Raw genomic sequence first — 18,357 nt, forward strand, 5'->3', positions numbered from 1 at the left:
TTATTCCAGCCTTAGGATTGGTTTTTCCTTCATTTGCCTACCTCTGCAAGTCAAATAGTATTTTTTTTTTTCTTTTTTTTTTTTTTTTTGAGACGGAATCTCACTCTGTTGCCCAGGCTGGAGTGCAGTGGCACAATCTCGGCTCACTGCAACCTCCACCTCCTGGGTTCGAGTGATTCTCCTGCCTCAGCCTCCCAAGTAGCTGGGATTACAGGCACTGGCCACCAAGCCCAGCTAATTTTTGTATTTTTAGTAGAGACGGGGTTTCACCATATTGGCCAGGCTGGTCTCGAACTCCTGAGCACCAAATGATCTGCCCGCCTTGGCCTCCCAAAGTGCTGGGATTACAGGCATGAACCACCATGCCCGGGCTCAAATAGTTTTTTAACTGGAAGGTTATTTTCTTCCCGATGTGTTTTGTTTTGTATATATATAGCTGAAATACTACAGAATTCATTAATCTACTATTTATTCACGATGAGATGATATAAATCAAAGTAAAGTGCTTATAGTGAATTTAAGATGTAAACATTTATAATAGCAAATTTAGGAAAATGCTATAGGTGAAATTAAAATAAGGCTTCAACATTTCCACCAAATGCCACTTTAGACTTATTGTAATTCTTTTTTCTTTCTTCAGTTATTCCTGCAAGTACTGAATTAAATCATGGCTTCAAAAGGTTTCAAGTCAGTACCTATGAAAAACATTTTAAAGAACATGTTCTCTTTTATCCTCTATATTACATTACCTTATTCTGTAAAAAGTTTTAGCCAAATATATTATTTAAAACATGGTTTGTATACTTATTGCAACATCATAGTGGAAGACTTTAGATTTTTTTAACCATGCATTTGAGACTCCTTGTTATGCTCCTCCAAAAATGATTACTTTTAAAAAACCTTTTATAAATGTTTTACATAAAAGTACAATCTAACTATACAGTTTAATGAATTTTCATGAACTCAACCTTCCTGTATAAAAACTACACCTACTTACCAGTGTCAACCCTGATGCTCCCCCACCTCAGTATCTTCTTCTGGTCACCACCTTGCCCCTACCCCTACTACCATAACTTTCAACAGCATTATACATTCTTTTAGATCCAGCAATTTCACTTCTAGGAATTTGTCCTGAAGTAAAAATTAAGATTGAGTTTAAAACCTTAGCTCAAGAATGTTTATTTATATATACAAGACACACAATATGTGATCCTTCCATACTATTGAGCTAAGTAAATGAATTTAAGTATTAAAATGATTCTGCAGAAAAATACTTAGTAACATAAGGATGTCAAAAATATAAATTATGCAAACAGTTTACAGAGGATATATATCTCATGTGGTAGGTCAGTGGGGCTGAGCACTGCGAGTGTGTTTTGTGCACAGGTAGATATTCTTCAGAAAATGGTTTGGAAGGACTGAACACAGGAGCACCTGCAGATAGCTCTGGGTGGAAGAATACAGGAAAATTGTTATTTTCTTCATTTTCTTATTTGTTTTCTAGTTTTGCTACAGTAGGTAAAGCTATCTTCTAATGCATAATTTGCATTGAAATTTCTTGAGTCCAAAATGTGTTTTTACAGCTGGTATCTTCAACTAGAATCAAATAATGTCTCTGTGTTACATTTGATTCTTAGTGTGACACATTTGATTCTAAGGTTATTTATTTATTTATTTTTGAGATGGAGTCTTGCTTTGCTGCCCAGGCTGGAGTGCAGTGGCATGAACTTGGCTCACTGCAACCTCTGCCTCCTGGGTTCAAGCGATTCTCCAGCCTTGGCCTCCTGAGTAGCTGGGATCACAGGTGTGCGCCACCATGCCTGGCTAATTTTTGTATTTTTAGTAGAGATGGGGTTTCACCATGTTGGCCAGGCTGGTCTTGAACGCCTGACCTCAAGTAATCCACCTGCCTCAGCATCTCAAAGTGCTGGGATTACAGGCGTGAGCCACCACGCCTGGCCATGGTCTCTAATTTAGGGCAGCACTTTCCCCAATTTATGATGGGGCTATGTCTTGATAAACCCACTGTAAATAAAAAAATATAGTAAGTCAAAAATGCATTTATATCCCAATACACCCATTGTAATGTTGAAAAACTGTAAGTTGAACCATCTTAAGTTGATGACCATCTGCACTATTTTCCTGTGGTATCATTTACTTTGCTTCAAAAAATTTCTTGTATAATAATTCTGATAAACTTGGAATTGGCAATAAAGCAAGTAACTCAAACTTGGATTTCACAATTCCTTTTTACTCTTAAAAATTATTGCAGACCTTTTATGTGGGCTGTATCTACTGATATTTACCATAACAGAAATTAAATAAAAGGATTTTAAAAGTATTTATAATTGATAACAATAACAACGCTAAAAATGTTAATGTTCATAAAAACACTTATGAAAAACGTTTTCAAGATGAGTAAAAAGAATTATATTTTAAAAACAGTTTTGTAGATCTCTTTAATGTCCAGCTTAATAGAAAACAGCTGAATTCTCACATCTGCTTCTGCATTGATTGTGTTGAGATATCACACATCATGTAGCTTCTGGGCGACTTTACTATACACACTTGTGAGAGAATGAGAGTAAAAAGAACAAATAACATATTACTAATTTTAACCTGGTATATCTCCTGAAAGGGTTTCAGGGATTCTCAGGGCTTCCTGACTATGCTTGAGAACCAGCGGTCTAATAATTGTTTAGATCCGTGTTCAACATTTTTGGTAAGAATACTTCACAGGTGAAGTGACATATCACGAGGTACATAAAGTCTATTTTCAATGATGCTCAAGTGATCAGTGTGTTCTGATGGTGACAGTCTGACCCCTCTGTTGTAAAGTTCTCAAAATAATCTTTCCTCTGATATTTATCTTTATATATATATGTTTATATATATAATATATATAAAAAAAGTTTTATTGGTTTGAATTGACACATAATTGAACCTATTTATGGGGTACATACATGTATACATGTACACATTGTACAGTAATCAGTGTAATTAGCATATTCACCTCAAACACTTGTCTTTTTGGTGACAACATTCAAAATATTCTTTTAGCTGTTTTGAACTATGTTACCATTAACTATAGTCACCCTATTGTGCAACAAAACACAAGTATTCCTCCTACCTAACTTTGTACCTGTTGATCAACCTCTGTCCATTCCCCTCCCCACACCCTTTTCCAGCCTCTGGTAATCACTATTCTACTCTCTACTTCTATGAGATCGACTTTATTTAGATTCCACATGAGTGACAAATACACATATTGTATTTGTCCTACTGTGCTGGACTTATTTCATTTTACTTAATGTCCTCCAGTTTCATCCACGTTGTTGCAAATGACAGGATTTCATTTTTTATTGGCTGAAATAGTATTCCACTTTGTATATATACCACACTAAAAAAAACCATTCATCTGTCGATGGACATTTAGGTTGATCCCGTAATCTTGGCTATTACAATTCAGCAGTTTTCTCTGTATTCAGAGTTGTGCAACCATCACAATTTTAGAATATTTTCTCCACCCTAGAAAGAAATCCTGCACCCTTGGGCGACTGCTCTCCCTTGTCCTATGACTCCTGGCCTTTGGCAACCAGTAATCTACTTTCTATGCCTATGGATTTTCCTATTCTAAACATTTCATACAAATAGAATCATATATTTGGTCTTTTTTGACTGGCTGCTTTTACTTAGCACAATGTTTTTAAGGTTCACTCATGTAGCATGCATCAGTACTCCTTTCTATTGTTGAATACTATTCCATTGTATGGATGTACAATATTTTACTTATCCTTTCTTCAGTTAATGGACATTTGGGTTGTTTGCACTTCTTGGCTATTATGAATAATGCTGTTATAAACATTTGTGAACAAGTTTTTGTGTGGACATATGTTTTCGATTCTCTTGAGTAGGTTCCTCAGAGTAGAACTGTTGGGTTATATAACTGGATGCGCAACCTTTTGAGGAACTTCAGACTGTTTCCAAAGGGGTTGCATCATTTTATATTCTTACCAGCAATGTATCAGGGGTCCAAATTTTCTGCATCTTTGCCAACACTTCTTGTATCTTTTAGATTCTAGCCATCCCTAGTGGATGTGAAACAATGTCTTTCTTTCTTTCTTTTCTCCTCTCCTTTCCTTCCCTCTCTCTCTCTCTCTTTCAAGAGGGAGTTTCGCTCTTGTTGCCCAGGCTGGAGTGCAATGGCACAATCTCAGCTCACTGCAACCTCCGCCTCCCAGGTTCAAGCGATTCTCCTGTTTCAGCCTCCCAAATAGCTCGGATTACAGGCATGTACCACCACACCCAGATAATTTTTTTGTATTTGGTAGAGACAGGGTTTCACTGTTAGCCAGGCTGGTCTCGAACTCCTGACCTCAGGTGATCCACCCGCCTTGGCCTTCCAAAGTGATGGGATTACAGGTGTGAGCCACCACGCCTGGCCTGTGTTTCTTTTGTAAGTTTTAATTTTTGTGGTTACTGAGTATGGGGTACATGAGACATTCTGACACAGACATACAATTGTATAACGATCACATCAGGGTAGACGGGGCATCCATCACTTCAAGCATTTATCCTTTGTGTTGCAAACAATATAATTATACTCAGTTATTTTAAAATGTACAATTAAACTGTTATTGACTACAGTCATCCTATTGTGCTCTCAAATACTAGATCTTATTCATTCTACTTTTTTGTACCCATTAACTATCCCCACTTCCTCCTTACCCCACCCCCCACTATCCTTCTCAGCCTCTGGTAACCATCCTTCTACTATCTCCATGAGTTCAATTGCTTTAATTTTTAGCTCCCACAAGTAGGTAAGAACATGAAAAGTTTGTCCTTCTGTGCCTGATTTTGCTTAACATAATGACCTCCAGTTCCATCCATCTTGTTGCAAATGAAAGGATCTCATTCTTTTTTATGGCTGAATAGCACTCCATTGTGTATGTGTACCACATTTACTTTATCCATTTGTCTGCTGATGGACACTTAGGTTTCTTCCAAATCTTGGCTATTGTGAATAAAACTGCAATAAACAGGGGAGTTCAGACTTCTCTTTGATATACTGATTTCTTTTTTTTTTTTTTTTTTTTTTTTTTTTTTTTTTTTTTAGGGTATATACCTAGCAATGGGATTGCTGGATCATATAGTGGCTCTATTTTTAGTTTTTTGAGTAACCTCTAAACTGTTCTCCACAGTGGCTGTATTAATTTACATTAGTCTTTATCTTCTGATTCTGTTGTTTGATTCAATTATCTTATTGGGGTGGAAAAACAGTAATATTTTAAGTCTATTATGCCTTCCATATTTATTAGCCAACATTCTTCAAGAATTTTCTTTAAATGATTTGGTTGTCCTGAAACACAATTTGTATAGAAAAAGCAAAATAAATACTTAACACTTTCCTTTAATTGTTAATTTTCACAGTAAAGAACTGGTGTGGTGTGTACCTCCAATAGAGACTACTAACTCTGGGGGACACTTTCAGTTTCTGGTTCTCATAAATGAGTACATTTTAAAACATTCAATATTTTTCATTCCACCGAAATTGTTCTTCTACTGATGATCAAATATTTTCATACTTGACCACCTGGGAACCTTTAACATTGACTCCTGTATTCTTTTAACAAATTCGTCTTTGGGCTTCCTTGCCTGCTAGCACAAGATGTTCCAGGCTCATCTTGTACATTTCCTAGTCCAAACCTGAAGTCCAAAGAGGCCTGCTTCCTTTCAAAGGGAAATAATGTTTAGAGACCACACTCCAGGTTTAGGTTCAATGCCACTGAGTTTTCGTTGCTTATAGGCTATTTCAGTGATCAGATGAGGAAATGTGTATTTTTGAAAATAATTCATGGTTTGCACTGCGTTTCCAATCCACATGTAATATAAGGTTTTTTACTTGATGTTGCTTGTTTTTTCTCTTACACTGAAAATACTGGTTTCATAATGATGTTAACATGATTACATATTTGGTTTGTTCTACAGACTCAAAAAATAATGACAACATTATTACTAGTATTACTAAAAAAAAGGTTTAAGGGTTCCTTAAAGTATTTTTTTGCCCTTGGAATATATTCTATTGCCCTTGGAATGTATTTCACTAAGAATGTATAGTCAAAATGCTGGGTAAAATCACTTGATATAATTCTTTTCTCAATGTTATGTTACTAACATTATGTTACTAATTTGACCCAGCCAGGTTTATTTGTTATATTCTACTTCAAGTTTTTGGGATTGCTCTACTTTAAAAAAATGTTTATCCTTTGGAATATACAGAATATTTACATAAAACTCAATAACAAGATCTGTTGAGAGCACTTCCATTCCTGTCTCATCTGCCTCATTTACTTCATCCCCTTCTTGGTAACCACATTCATTGTCGTTAGTTTTTGGCTTATCTTCCCTGCTTTTCTACACAAAAGAGAGCATGTAATATATGTATTTCTGCAACTTGCTTTTTATTACCTCACAAGAAAACCTGGAAATTCACTATCAAGAGATCATTCTCACCGTTTTTTTTTTTTTTTTTTTGATGTTTGCCTTCCATTGTGTGGATATAAATAATTTAACTAACCAGGGCACTACTGATGGATATTTGGATTATTTCCAATGTCCTGCTATTACAATTAATGTCCCAGTGAATCACCCTGAATGCATATCATTCCATATTTGTGCAGGTGTAATTAAAGGCTTGATTCCCTGAAATGGGATTGCTAGGTCAAAGGACAAACGCTTATAAAATGTAAGATACTGTCAATGCCTCCATAAGGACTGCACCAGTTTGTATTTCCACAGTAATGCATGAAAATGTCTGTTGCTTAACAGCTTTGACAAACAGGGTATATAGCTAAACTTGAATTCTTATCAGTGTGACAGGTGTGAATCACATGAGTATGGTTTAGAGTATTTTCCTATGTTTAAGGGCTTTTAAAATTTCTTCTATGAACTGACAGTATAATTATGCTCATTTTTCTATCAGGCTGTTCATATTTTACATTTCAATTTTTTGAAACTCTTAATAGATTAGAATCATTCATTTTTTATTTTATAAGGTGCAAACATTTTTTCACAGACTGCCACTGTCTTTTGATTTTTCTAATACTGCTTTCTTCTGTGTCATGAAGAAGTTTCTTTTGTTTATACATTGAAATTTGGAATTTATCATTTTCTTATTGTTAAGGGGATACTCTAGCTAAGACAGAAATGATGAACAGGGGGCAAGCCAAAAAAAAACAAGAATATGTGAAGGCAGAGTAACCCAGGCAAAGGGATCAGCAGCCCTGAAGTACAGTGGGCTTGGCAAGTGTCAGACATAGACAGTGTGACTTACACCTAGGCGAAGAAGAGAAGGAAACGGAACAAGTCCAGAGTGGTAGGCAGGAACAAAATCTTGGCAGAACCTAGTAAGTCATTAAAAGAAATGTAAATTTTGTTCTTAATGTAACAGAAAACCAAGAGGAAGATTAAATACAAACTATCAGCTTTATTACAACTGGGCATAAGAACCCAATTTTGGCATATTGATAACTTCAAGGTTATAAAGTAGGTACGAAAGTTATCTCTTTGGGGAGAGAATACTTGGAGAAATTACAAGGGAAAAGAAAAAAACAAGAATTGACACTTGGAAACCCACAGGGTTGGTGATCAACTTTATATCATATGAGTACTTAACATGAACTGCTTCATGCACAAAATTATTTAAAATATTATATAAAATTACTTTCAGACTGCTTGTATAAGGTGTATATGAAACAAATGAATTTTCTGTTTAGCCTTGGGCCCCATCCACAAGATATCTTACTATGTACATGCAAATATTCCAAAATAAGATAAAAATCCAAAATCTGAAACACTTCTGGTCCCAAGCATTTCAGATAAAGAATACTTAACCCATATAACAAATTTTTGTAAAAAACTGAATGGCAACAGAGGACACTAATTTCTTTTTTCTTTTTCTTTTTGCTTTATATACCTAATAATTAAGTTAGTCAAGTGACATTTTAGATAGCATTTATGGAACTTCTGAATTTAAAAAGTGCACTTTTTAAAAAAATGACATTCTTTACAAAACAGAAAAAAGAAAAATCCAGCTTATATATACTGTAACAATTTTATTTCTTCACATTCTATAATCTCACCTTATTAAAAAAGCTTTGAACAATCTCTTGATTTTCACCTGAGACAATTTTCATACAGTTCCTCAAATATATCTGATATATTCCTGCCCTGAGTTTTGATATTGTGTATTTATATTTGATATTTCTTCTGACTTAAATGCCCTGACCTTAGATCTTCATATGGAGGACTTCCTCTCATTATTCAAGTCTCAGCTCAAACTCACTTCTTTATGGAGGTCTTCCTCAACGATCTTATCTAAAATAACCTCTCAGTCACTTTTGATATCTTGCTTAGTGATTCTTTTGTAAAATTATGGGCATGCTGACAGGCATATTTGGAAAAAGTAACAATTAACTTCTGGAAATGAAAAGTATAATGACAAATTAGAAACTCAAGACACAGGTTAAATCATGATTAACATAGCTTGAAAGAGAATTAGTAAATTGGGAAATATTTCTGAATAAACTAATCATGATATTACACAGAAACAAAGAGATGGAAAATGTGAAAAGGAAGAGGTAGGGAGGATAAAATAAGAAGATCCAAAATATGTCTAAATGGATTTTGACAGGAAATAAAAGTGAGAGTAAAAATATATTTGAACAGATAATGGCTGAAAAATGTCCACAATTGATGAGATTTCTCCTTAGTTTTAGGAAACATATAACTCTTAAGTAGAATAAAGAAAGGAAATCTGCTTCCCCTGTCACCTCATCAAACTGCTTGTGACCCATGCTGCCTTGGTTGGATTGTGACCCGTGCTGCCTTGTTGGATTGCCGGAATGTAGACAGAAATGTATTGTTCTTTTTTTTAAAAAAAATGTAATTGCTACTTGGTAAGGACAGAACATTATTCTAGTTTCATGTTTAATCTGAATTAAATATATTCTGTGGCTTATATGAAGAAAAAAAAAAGAAATCTGCTTCCAAACATATCCAAGACAACCTGCAGAATACCATAAACAAAACAGGGAGAGAAAGAGTGAGAGAGAGCCCAAAAGTAGAGTGTGTAAAGTTACCTATAAGGAAAAGACTATTCGTTGGCAGTCACAACAATCATACCAAACAGATAATTATGTACCTAGAGAAAACGTCTTTTAAGAATGAAAGTGAAAAAGAAAATGAAATAAAAAAAAAAACAACAAAATCCTGAGAGTTTACTACCAATAAACCCTTATTTAAGGAATGTCTGATCCCAGAAGAACATGTGAAATATAAGAAGAAATGATAAGCAAAAGAGATGATAATCATGTATGTAATTCTCAACAAAAATTGATGATATAAAACAAATGGTTGTGTTTAAGTTGTGATGTCACAAGAAGGGAAACACAGCACACAAGGGAAACACAGCACTCAATATAGCTGTAAGTGTCAGGGCAGGTGACTCTAAATTTTTTATATTAACTATACCTTTAAAACCTTCTAAGGTAACTACAAACTTAATAGCAGTAGAGTATATAACTTCAAAGTAAGCAAAGAAAGAAAAGTGAGGAAACCCAATCCAAAAGAAAATAAGGAGGAAAAAAAAGCATAACAAGACCAAATAAACAGCAGATAAGATGGTTGAAACAAATAATTACAAGGGTAACAAATGCTACAAAACAATATAGGATATTATATAAAAATACTGTAAGAACCCCAAACTAAATATGAGTAAGAATAAGAATATCAATGTGTGTGTCTGTGTACATCCAATATGGGAGGTGTGGAGGAGGCTTTCCTAAGAAACTAATGTTTAAAAGGAGACCTGGAAAAAAAATAAGTAATATGTACTTACAAAAAAAAACTGGTTGGGGGTAGAAGGTAGCTTTTTTGTCAGTGTTCTGAGGTTCTGAGAGTGTATGACATATTTAAGAAAATGAGAAAAAGCCAATATGAAGACTAAAGAAAGAGAGACACAAGATGTGGCTGGATAGGTGGGCAGGGGCTGGTTCCTGGAGTTTAGGATTTTAGACGTTATCTAAAGGGCAATATGAAGCCATTAAAGGATTTTCAGCAGGAGAGCGTAGGCCTAGATCTGGAATTTTAAAGTATCACCTGTTTCTTCTATCCCTGCAGTCAGAGGAGGTTAGATTAGAAGGGACACATAACCATCTAGACATATGTTTTATTTTTCAGGTCGACTAAAACATGGCATCTTCCCAAGCATGGAATATAACATTTTCTTCCACATGTTTTTAGCCACAGAAAACAAAAGCTCGGCATAGAAAAACAAGATAGACAATTTCGTTAGCGGACATAGAAATTTTTTTGAACTGAACTTTAAAAACTGTTTAGTGATTTCCAAACAGAATTACAAAACTTAATTTATAAACCACATAATTAAGCATACATAACATCATAAAACTATACGTGACTCTCTTACACATAGTAACACCTACCTTAATCACAGCCAAGAAAGCACAACAGTGGTGGTGGCAGCAGCAACAAAGGATACTTAATGACAACTAAATATGCGGCTGAAATTCATATATTTTATTCAATATAGTCTCTCAAATAGTCACTTGAAGCCTACTTAGTATTAGTCCTATACATAATTTGTTAAAAAGAAATTTAAACTAGAAGTTATGGATTCCAAAGTTGACCCTACTGATAACATTTTGAAGTAATTAAAAAAAAATCTTACTCATCTCTTGCTAATTAAGAGAAAATAATCCTAAAATTTTCAAATCATTACATGGTGGTACAATAGTTAATGTCCATTATCATGACACAATGTTCCACATGGCATTTTAAAAAGTATTAAAAAGTATATTTCAGAATATTTTGCAACCAAAATGTTTAAAATGGAAAATTTCACTGCAGAAACGCCCTAAATGCAATGGTCAAGTCTCAACTCTCATTTTAGTTATCTGTGGCGTCTGAGGATGGTGAAGATTTTTAATTTAATAAATAAATCCAATATACTGTGTACCATACCAAGCAGTGGAGACACAAAAGTGAAAAAAGACAAGTTTCCTGCTCCCAAAGGCAGATAAACATGCAAACAATTACAATGCATTGAGAGGTTTACTATAATGAAAGTTCTACCAGAATATTCATCGGATCTTATGGCAGAAGACTGTATTAACAAAGTTAATGAAGTATTCCATCTCTGCCCAATCTGATCTTGTTCTGTATAGGATTGCCTATGCTTCATAGTTGTTACAGTAATGATAAAGGTCTCTAAGTTGCAAATTTCTTCTTGTACATTGGAATTTAGGAGTTTTTACTCTGGCCCTAGATTAAAACTGATATTTAAAAAATATATACTTGACACACTAATGTTATTTATATCTGTTTCTTAACTCAATGTACTAGGACAAAAAAGAATCCTGGGTATAGGCAATGCATGCCTCACCCTTCTACCACTTTCTGAGGCTCAGAGTATTTATACAAATCTAAATAATTTAAAATGCACAAAGAAATATCCTCAAATATTTGAAATGCCTGGATAGAAAGTACAATGGAGAGGAAAATAGGCATGTTTTCCTCAGGGTAACCATATTTTAAGTGAGTGTAGAGTTTGTGAAAGAGAAGGCAATGACAATGAGGAGGATGGAAACTGACTTATGAAGAACAATTAAGGAAGTTGAAAAGATTTGTAGAGTAAACAGACATTTGAAGAAACCTAATAGTTTCAACAAACATTTACAGCATTACTATGTCAAAGGACTAGAGTTTCTCATATTGTTGCAGAAAGAAAAACAAAACAAGATGGAAGAAAACCCTAAAGGTTATCATGGAAAAGGGAAGTCTTGGAGACATAATAATTTTTACAAGTATTTACAGTAAAGTAAAACGCTGTTGCAGATAAAAAAAATATAAAACAATGAGTATATTCTTCATAGATATGAGCCTAACTATTAGAGTTGTCAAAGATTTTTGGTAAATACTTATTCACTCAGAGGCTGAATTACCATCTCTTATAATATAGAATAAAAGAATCCTATATAGGGAAGGAGGCTAGGCAAGATATTCTTATAAGTATCTTTTTCTTTGCTTATTTGCCTATTCCAATATCTTCTTCTGAGACTTGTCTTTGCCTATTTTTCTTATCAGTTGTCTGTCTCACTGGCTGTAGTTTTGTTAGCTGAATGCTTTCTAGATACATCAGTTACAGATGAGGCTTGACATTTCACTTTCTTCAGTGACTTTATACTTAAGTTTTAGATTTGAGTATAGTCAAATATACAAAATTGTTGTATGGACTGTGATTCTTGCATTTTAAGAACTTCTTCCCTACTTTGAATTAAGATATTATCCTATAATTTCCTCTCTTTTAGTTTTGCTTTTCACATTTAGCTTTTAAACCCAACTAGAACTACTTTTATGAGTGGTGTAAGGTAGGGATCCGCCCCTTATCCCCCTTTTGGGTAATCAATTGCCCTGGAACTATTTATGAATACAGTATCTTTCCCCGTGATTTATAATGACATTTCTGTCTTGCACTAAGATTCCACTAATGTTTGGGAGCTTCTGGGCTTACTGATCTGTCCTACTTATTTTTATCCTGGCCAATAGCACCCTGTTTTAATTACTGCACTTAATTAATGCTGCTACGTTTAGCAAGACTTTATTTATCACCTTGACTTGGTTACTCTTGGCTCTTTAAGTCTTGCTTGCAAATTTTAGGATCAGCAAGCCACATTTAACAACAAATCCTGTCAGAATTCTGCCTGGAATGACACTGAATCTGTAAGCATCAGTCCTCACATTCATTTAAAGTATAATCATTCATTTTGCTGGTCTTCTTTTACTTCCTTCAATATATTTTTATAATATTCTCCATAAGACCTGACATAGTTTATCCATTTCATTCTTAGGCATTTCACTGTTTTTCCTGTTGTTGCAGCTATTGCAAATGTAACTTTTTTAAAACTAGATTTTCTGATTGGGTGGCTGAGTAAGGACCTCTCATCAAATGTTTAAAACTGATGATAGTGTGCATTTTTTGTGTTATCTTTTATTTTAAATCTTTAGGTTATAATGTCTTTGGTAGTGGAAGTGCCCATCTATTATTCTTTGTTTGATATTTTTATCATAAATATATCAGCTTTTGTAGAATAACTTTTTTTGTATCTATTAGGACATAATTTTTAATTTAGAAAATTAAGAAAAGTTTTCAAATGCTTAATCATCCATGCCTCCTTAGTCATTATTTATTATGTTCTTATACCTCACTTTACTCAATTTGCTGATATTTATTAAGGATTTTTGCATCTAGGTTTGTAAGTTGAAATATTTCTTTCTTTTGCTATCTTTGTCTGGTTTTCGTATCAAGATTATACCAACATTTCTTTTTTTTTCTACTCTTTGAAACAGTAGAAAAAAAGGAAAGCACAAAATAGGAATTATTTGTTGCTTTAAGAGTATATAAAGTTACCTATAAAACTATTTGGCATGGAGAATTTCATAAACTTATGGTTTATACTATCCATAAATGTATCTACATCATTTATGGATAGATTATCTATTGGATTTATGGATTGTCATCTAATTTGAATAAAGCAACTCACCAAATAAATAACTGGCTTAAATGAGTATTGCTAAAAAATTACAGAGTGAGAATAATATGAAAAATGTAAGCACTAGCAAATAGCAACATAAAAAAAGGCATAACTGACACTGCTATCACTAGTATGAGCTCTTCATTGACTATACTATGAAGTAAAAACAGTGAAATCAGGCCAAAAAAAGGTTAAATTCTTAAGGAAGCTATGTGAAATATGGGTTTATACTTTCTATCATTGTTAATGAAACTCTTCTAAAGTATATTATCATTCAATAAGATACTGGCAGTGAAGTCATCATGATTAGCAAGACATTTAAAAATTGTTTATAACAACTTTGTTTAAATCCTAAAATATTTATAGAAAGACTGGTACACATACTGTGTTAGTGGGTACATATACACACATCCATATGTACACACAAATGCATCAAAGGGTATGTGCTTCATTTTTCCTTGTTTGGTATGCAAGTAGACAAATTTTAAGAAACTACCCATCCATACCATGGCAGAATGCTTTCATAAAAGAAAATCTGATCTTGTTACTTTCAGTCTGGTAGCTTTCTATGACCCTAAGAAAAGTCAAAATTTGGTCCCTACCTACTTCTTTAGCTTCATCTACCATCACTCTTCCCCGTGCCCTCTATACCTCAAACCACATTAAACTAAATAATTTCTATCCTCAAGAAGACTAGAATCACATATGACAATAAGTCATTCAAAAACTTAAAATTATCAAGAAGACTAGTTATAGATTTATATCCACTATCACTACTCTTTCCAAACTCAGGATTTTCACATATATTTGCACTTTGTTTAGACTATTACAATAATTTAAATAATTACATGACTTGTGTTCTACATATACATGGATCTGTCTTGCCACTTAACTTCATAGAATCAAAGATCTAAGGACTGGAAATTTACTTTTAAAATGCCTTTTTTTTTTTTTTTTTGAGACAGAGTCTTGCTCTGTTGCCAGGCTGGAATGCAGTGGCGCGATCTTGGCCCACTGCCACCTCTGCCTCCCGGGTTCAAGCAATTCTCCTGCCTCAGCCTCCCAAATAGCTGGGACTACAGGCATGTGCCACCACGCCCAGCTAATTTTTGTATTTTTAGTAGAGACGGGGTTTCACCATGTTGGCCAGGATGTTGATCTCTTGACCTCGTGATCCACCCACCTCAGCCTCCCAAAGTGCTGGGATTACAGGTGTGAGCCACCATGCCCGGCCAAAATGCCAACTATTCTAACCACTCATCTGATGCTTTTCAATACCTCCAATGACAAGGCAATCAGGGAATCATTCCTTCCTTCCTTAGCAATTTCCTTAGAAATATTCTTTCTTATCTAGACCTGAAATCTGTTTCCCTCTAACCTCTAGCTAGTGATCCTAACTCAACTCACTGGACCATTCACAGAAAACTCAGTCCTACGTTACTGTAACAGCCATACAAGTATTTATAGATCACTATCACGTTACTTCTAAGGCTTCTTCTGTGGTGATGAGGAACGGGGGGTAGACAGTGCGGTGAGAGTAGTATTTGAGAATCTTTCATGAGTTTGTTACTAAATATTTAATTCTCACATTGTTCCAATGGGTCCATTATTATTATGGCCAAATTACAATTGAAGAAATTAAAGGTCTGACAGGTAACATTACTTGTTCAAGTAACTTAAGTAAGTAGCAGAGCTGGGATTTCAACCACTAGTCTGTCACATACCAAAGCCTATGTTCTAGTCTCTTCAGAAATCCCCAAAAGGAGAGGAGATATAAGGGAATATAAGGCATGGAAAAGCAAATAAAAAAAATTCTAAAAATCCTCTATTTTCCGAGTTCCAAAATTCTAAGTACTGATATTTTTTTCCTTAAGCCTTCACAGGTGTCCAACCCTTTGATTGTGAGGATTTTTTTTACCCATCTGTGGTGGCAGATATCATAAAAATAACACAGGGAACCCCCCCACCGGCTTTTTAAAGCTCATCAGCTATAGTCAGTGTGTTAGTGTATTTTATGTGTGGCCCAACACAACTCTTCTTCTTCCATTGTAGCCCGGGGAAGCCAAAAGGTTGGACACCCATGCGATATCATAGTTATCTTTTGACATTTCTTTCCCTATCTTATAAGCTATTATCTTAAAATCTGTCAGATATTGTCACATAAATACTTGCAACCTAGTATTAGGGAACAAAAAAGGAATAATTATTCCCATATTTCAGCCCCTCTAAATTTTAATCTGATTTACACACTGAAAAGACTGTATCTTCAAACACTAACTAGTATATTCTTCTTTTTTTTTAAGAGACAGAGTTTCGCTCTTGTTGCCCAGGCTGGAGTGCAATGGTATGATCTCGGCTCACGGCAACCTCTGCCTCCTGGATTCAAGCAACTCTCCCGCCTCAGCCTCTCGACTAGCTGGTATTACAGGCATGTGCCACAGTGCCCGGCTAATTTTGTATTTTTAGTAGAGATGGGGTTTCTCCATGTTGGTCAGGCTGGTCTTGAATTCCTGACCTCAGGTGATCCACCTGCCTCGGCCTCCCAAAGTGCTGGGATTACAGGCGTGAGCCAGCGCGCCTGGCCTAACTAGTATATTCTTCTTAAGAGCCCCAAACTAACATCACTGCCTTCTGGAATCAAATTTAATGATGACTTTTTTCTTATGGCTTCAAAGACTGACAATACTATTCCTAGTCCATATTAACAAAAGCTACCTAAATTGTCCTTTGTTCTGATAAACACTTAAGTCCTTCGCACACACTTAAAAGGCTCTTCTTCTTGCCTTTCCTCTGTGAAGTTATGGTTCTCTTTTAATTAAACTCTATAAGTCCAACATGGTCTTCATCATTCAGGTTCCTTATGACCAATGTTTCTCCATATAGTTAGTTACATGATAACATTATATTTGTCACAGACATTCCATTTCCTCTGTTCCAAGTTATATTATAAACAACTGGAAGATAAATAATCTATTTTTTTCTCACTTAAATACAAAAAAAACGAACAAGCAAGTGCTTACTGTTTTCAGCTTTCCACTATAAAAATAATTATTTCTTATAAAAATCTATTTATATCCTTTGTTTATATGCTTTATTTTTAAGCTGTTTATTAGGATACACTTTATTGCAAAAGGAGTTGAGAGCAACTCAGATTTTCTCTTTTATAAACAAAGATGCAAGTACAAAAGCTGTAAATAGGTACTTCTCTCCAGCACATATTACATAAGCAAATTAAAAGTCATATTACATCCAAAATAAATTTCCCTATGAATATAAAAAGTTATAAATATACATTTAACGATATAAAACATCAAATTATATATTAAATGCACACAAAAAATCTTACCTTGCTGAGTATTTTGTTCTTGCATTCGATTCACAGTGAGGTCTAAGGGGCCTTCCTGCTCTTCCTGAAGGGAGTTTTCTGCTTGATTCATTTGGATACTTTTACATACTATACTTGGTCCAATTGAACCATTTCTATTCTCTTGAGTTTTACCACTTTTTGAAATGTACTCAATCGCAAATTGACGTATCATCTTTTTCATTAATTCCTGAGCAACTAGGGGAATGTTAGGATCACAGTTCTGAGGAAGATCTAGGGAAGAAATAAATATAATAATCATTTTAAAAAGAGAAAGGCAAATCACCAACATTTAAATTTATTTTTATTACAAATTAATGACTTCAGAAGTCTTTTAGCATCAGTCCATAACTCCCAATGTTTTCTGGGAATTAGCAATAAAAGCTTTGTAGATTTAATCAGCTTTATAATAATATATCAACCAAAAATGTGGCATATTTAATTACTTCTTACAATTAAACATTCTCTGGTCCCAAACTAAAATACAAATAAAGAATTAGACATAGAAGCGGAACAACTTATTCTCAAGAGTTTTAATATTCATTCAGATATATTTTACTAGACATTAAAACACTCAGTATGTGAATATAAATTGTATAAGTAACCAATTTTTATCCTAATATACAATGTGCATGCATTAACTAGGAAAACGTCTAAATTCTTATAATTCTGTATCCATTAAATTCAATTCTATAAAATGTGCATTTCATATATAACCTGAATTTCATCATCAAGGATTTTCTTTTGATTTTTTATATAGAAAAATTTTGATTATAAATAAAAAATGAAAGAATAGTACAATGACATAGCTTCCACTAATATTCAAGAACTGTCACTAGTCTGCCAAATTAGCTTTCTTTTTACTTTATTTTTATTTGTAGAACCACTGAAACTGTAGAATAATTACAATTTACTTCTAAATATTTCAGCACGGATATCCTAAGATACTTCTGTAAAATGAGAATATCACTGAGAGTTTTAACCAAAACATTTTGATCAAGTACAACTATAATAAAGTTCAACAGTAATAATACAACTCTGTCTGAAACTTATATAATTGGTAAAACAACTGAATGATTTTAGTAAGAAGTGTGGGATAAGAACAGATCACTTATATACACAGTGCACAATAGCGATACAGAGATTTAGTATTGGGGGTGGTGGCTTTTACACACACATTTCTGGTTTGGCTCCATTCCCTTTATTTATTCTGCCCCTTTAGATGTAAGGTGATTGGTAAATTGGGAAAGATGACTAGAGAAACTTGTTTTTTGAGTAGGGATATACTTTTTCCTCTTAGAAACGGGCCTACTTGTAGAGATACTAGTTCTCTACTCCTTAAATGTCTAAACCCTTACTCAGGTAGATCAGTGTTATATGAAT

At 34.1% G+C, this 18,357-nt stretch overlaps 1 protein-coding gene across 20 annotated transcripts in view; it reads right to left on the reverse strand.

Moving 5' to 3' along the window:
* The window catches only part of LCORL (ligand dependent nuclear receptor corepressor like), a 180,689-nt gene that overhangs the window by 50,951 nt on the left and 111,381 nt on the right, over positions 1 to 18,357 (reverse strand). For 16 of the 20 annotated variants that reach the window (NR_136669.3, NR_158566.1, NR_158563.1 and 13 more), the window contains one exon: positions 16,957 to 17,208. The exons of 3 other annotated variants lie outside the window; for them this stretch is intronic. Coding sequence is in view for 10 of the 17 variants with exons in the window: in XM_047449965.1 (XP_047305921.1) it covers positions 16,957 to 17,208 (252 nt within the window). In the remaining 7 variants the exon portion in view is untranslated. Of the gene's footprint in view, positions 1 to 154; positions 1,447 to 16,956; positions 17,209 to 18,357 lie in introns of those variants that run through there. One more of the 20 variants, NM_001365661.1, reaches the window with a different exon arrangement.

The sequence above is a fragment of the Homo sapiens genome, chromosome 4, assembly GCF_000001405.40.
Source record: "Homo sapiens chromosome 4, GRCh38.p14 Primary Assembly".
Classification (NCBI taxonomy): Eukaryota; Metazoa; Chordata; class Mammalia; order Primates; family Hominidae; genus Homo; species Homo sapiens.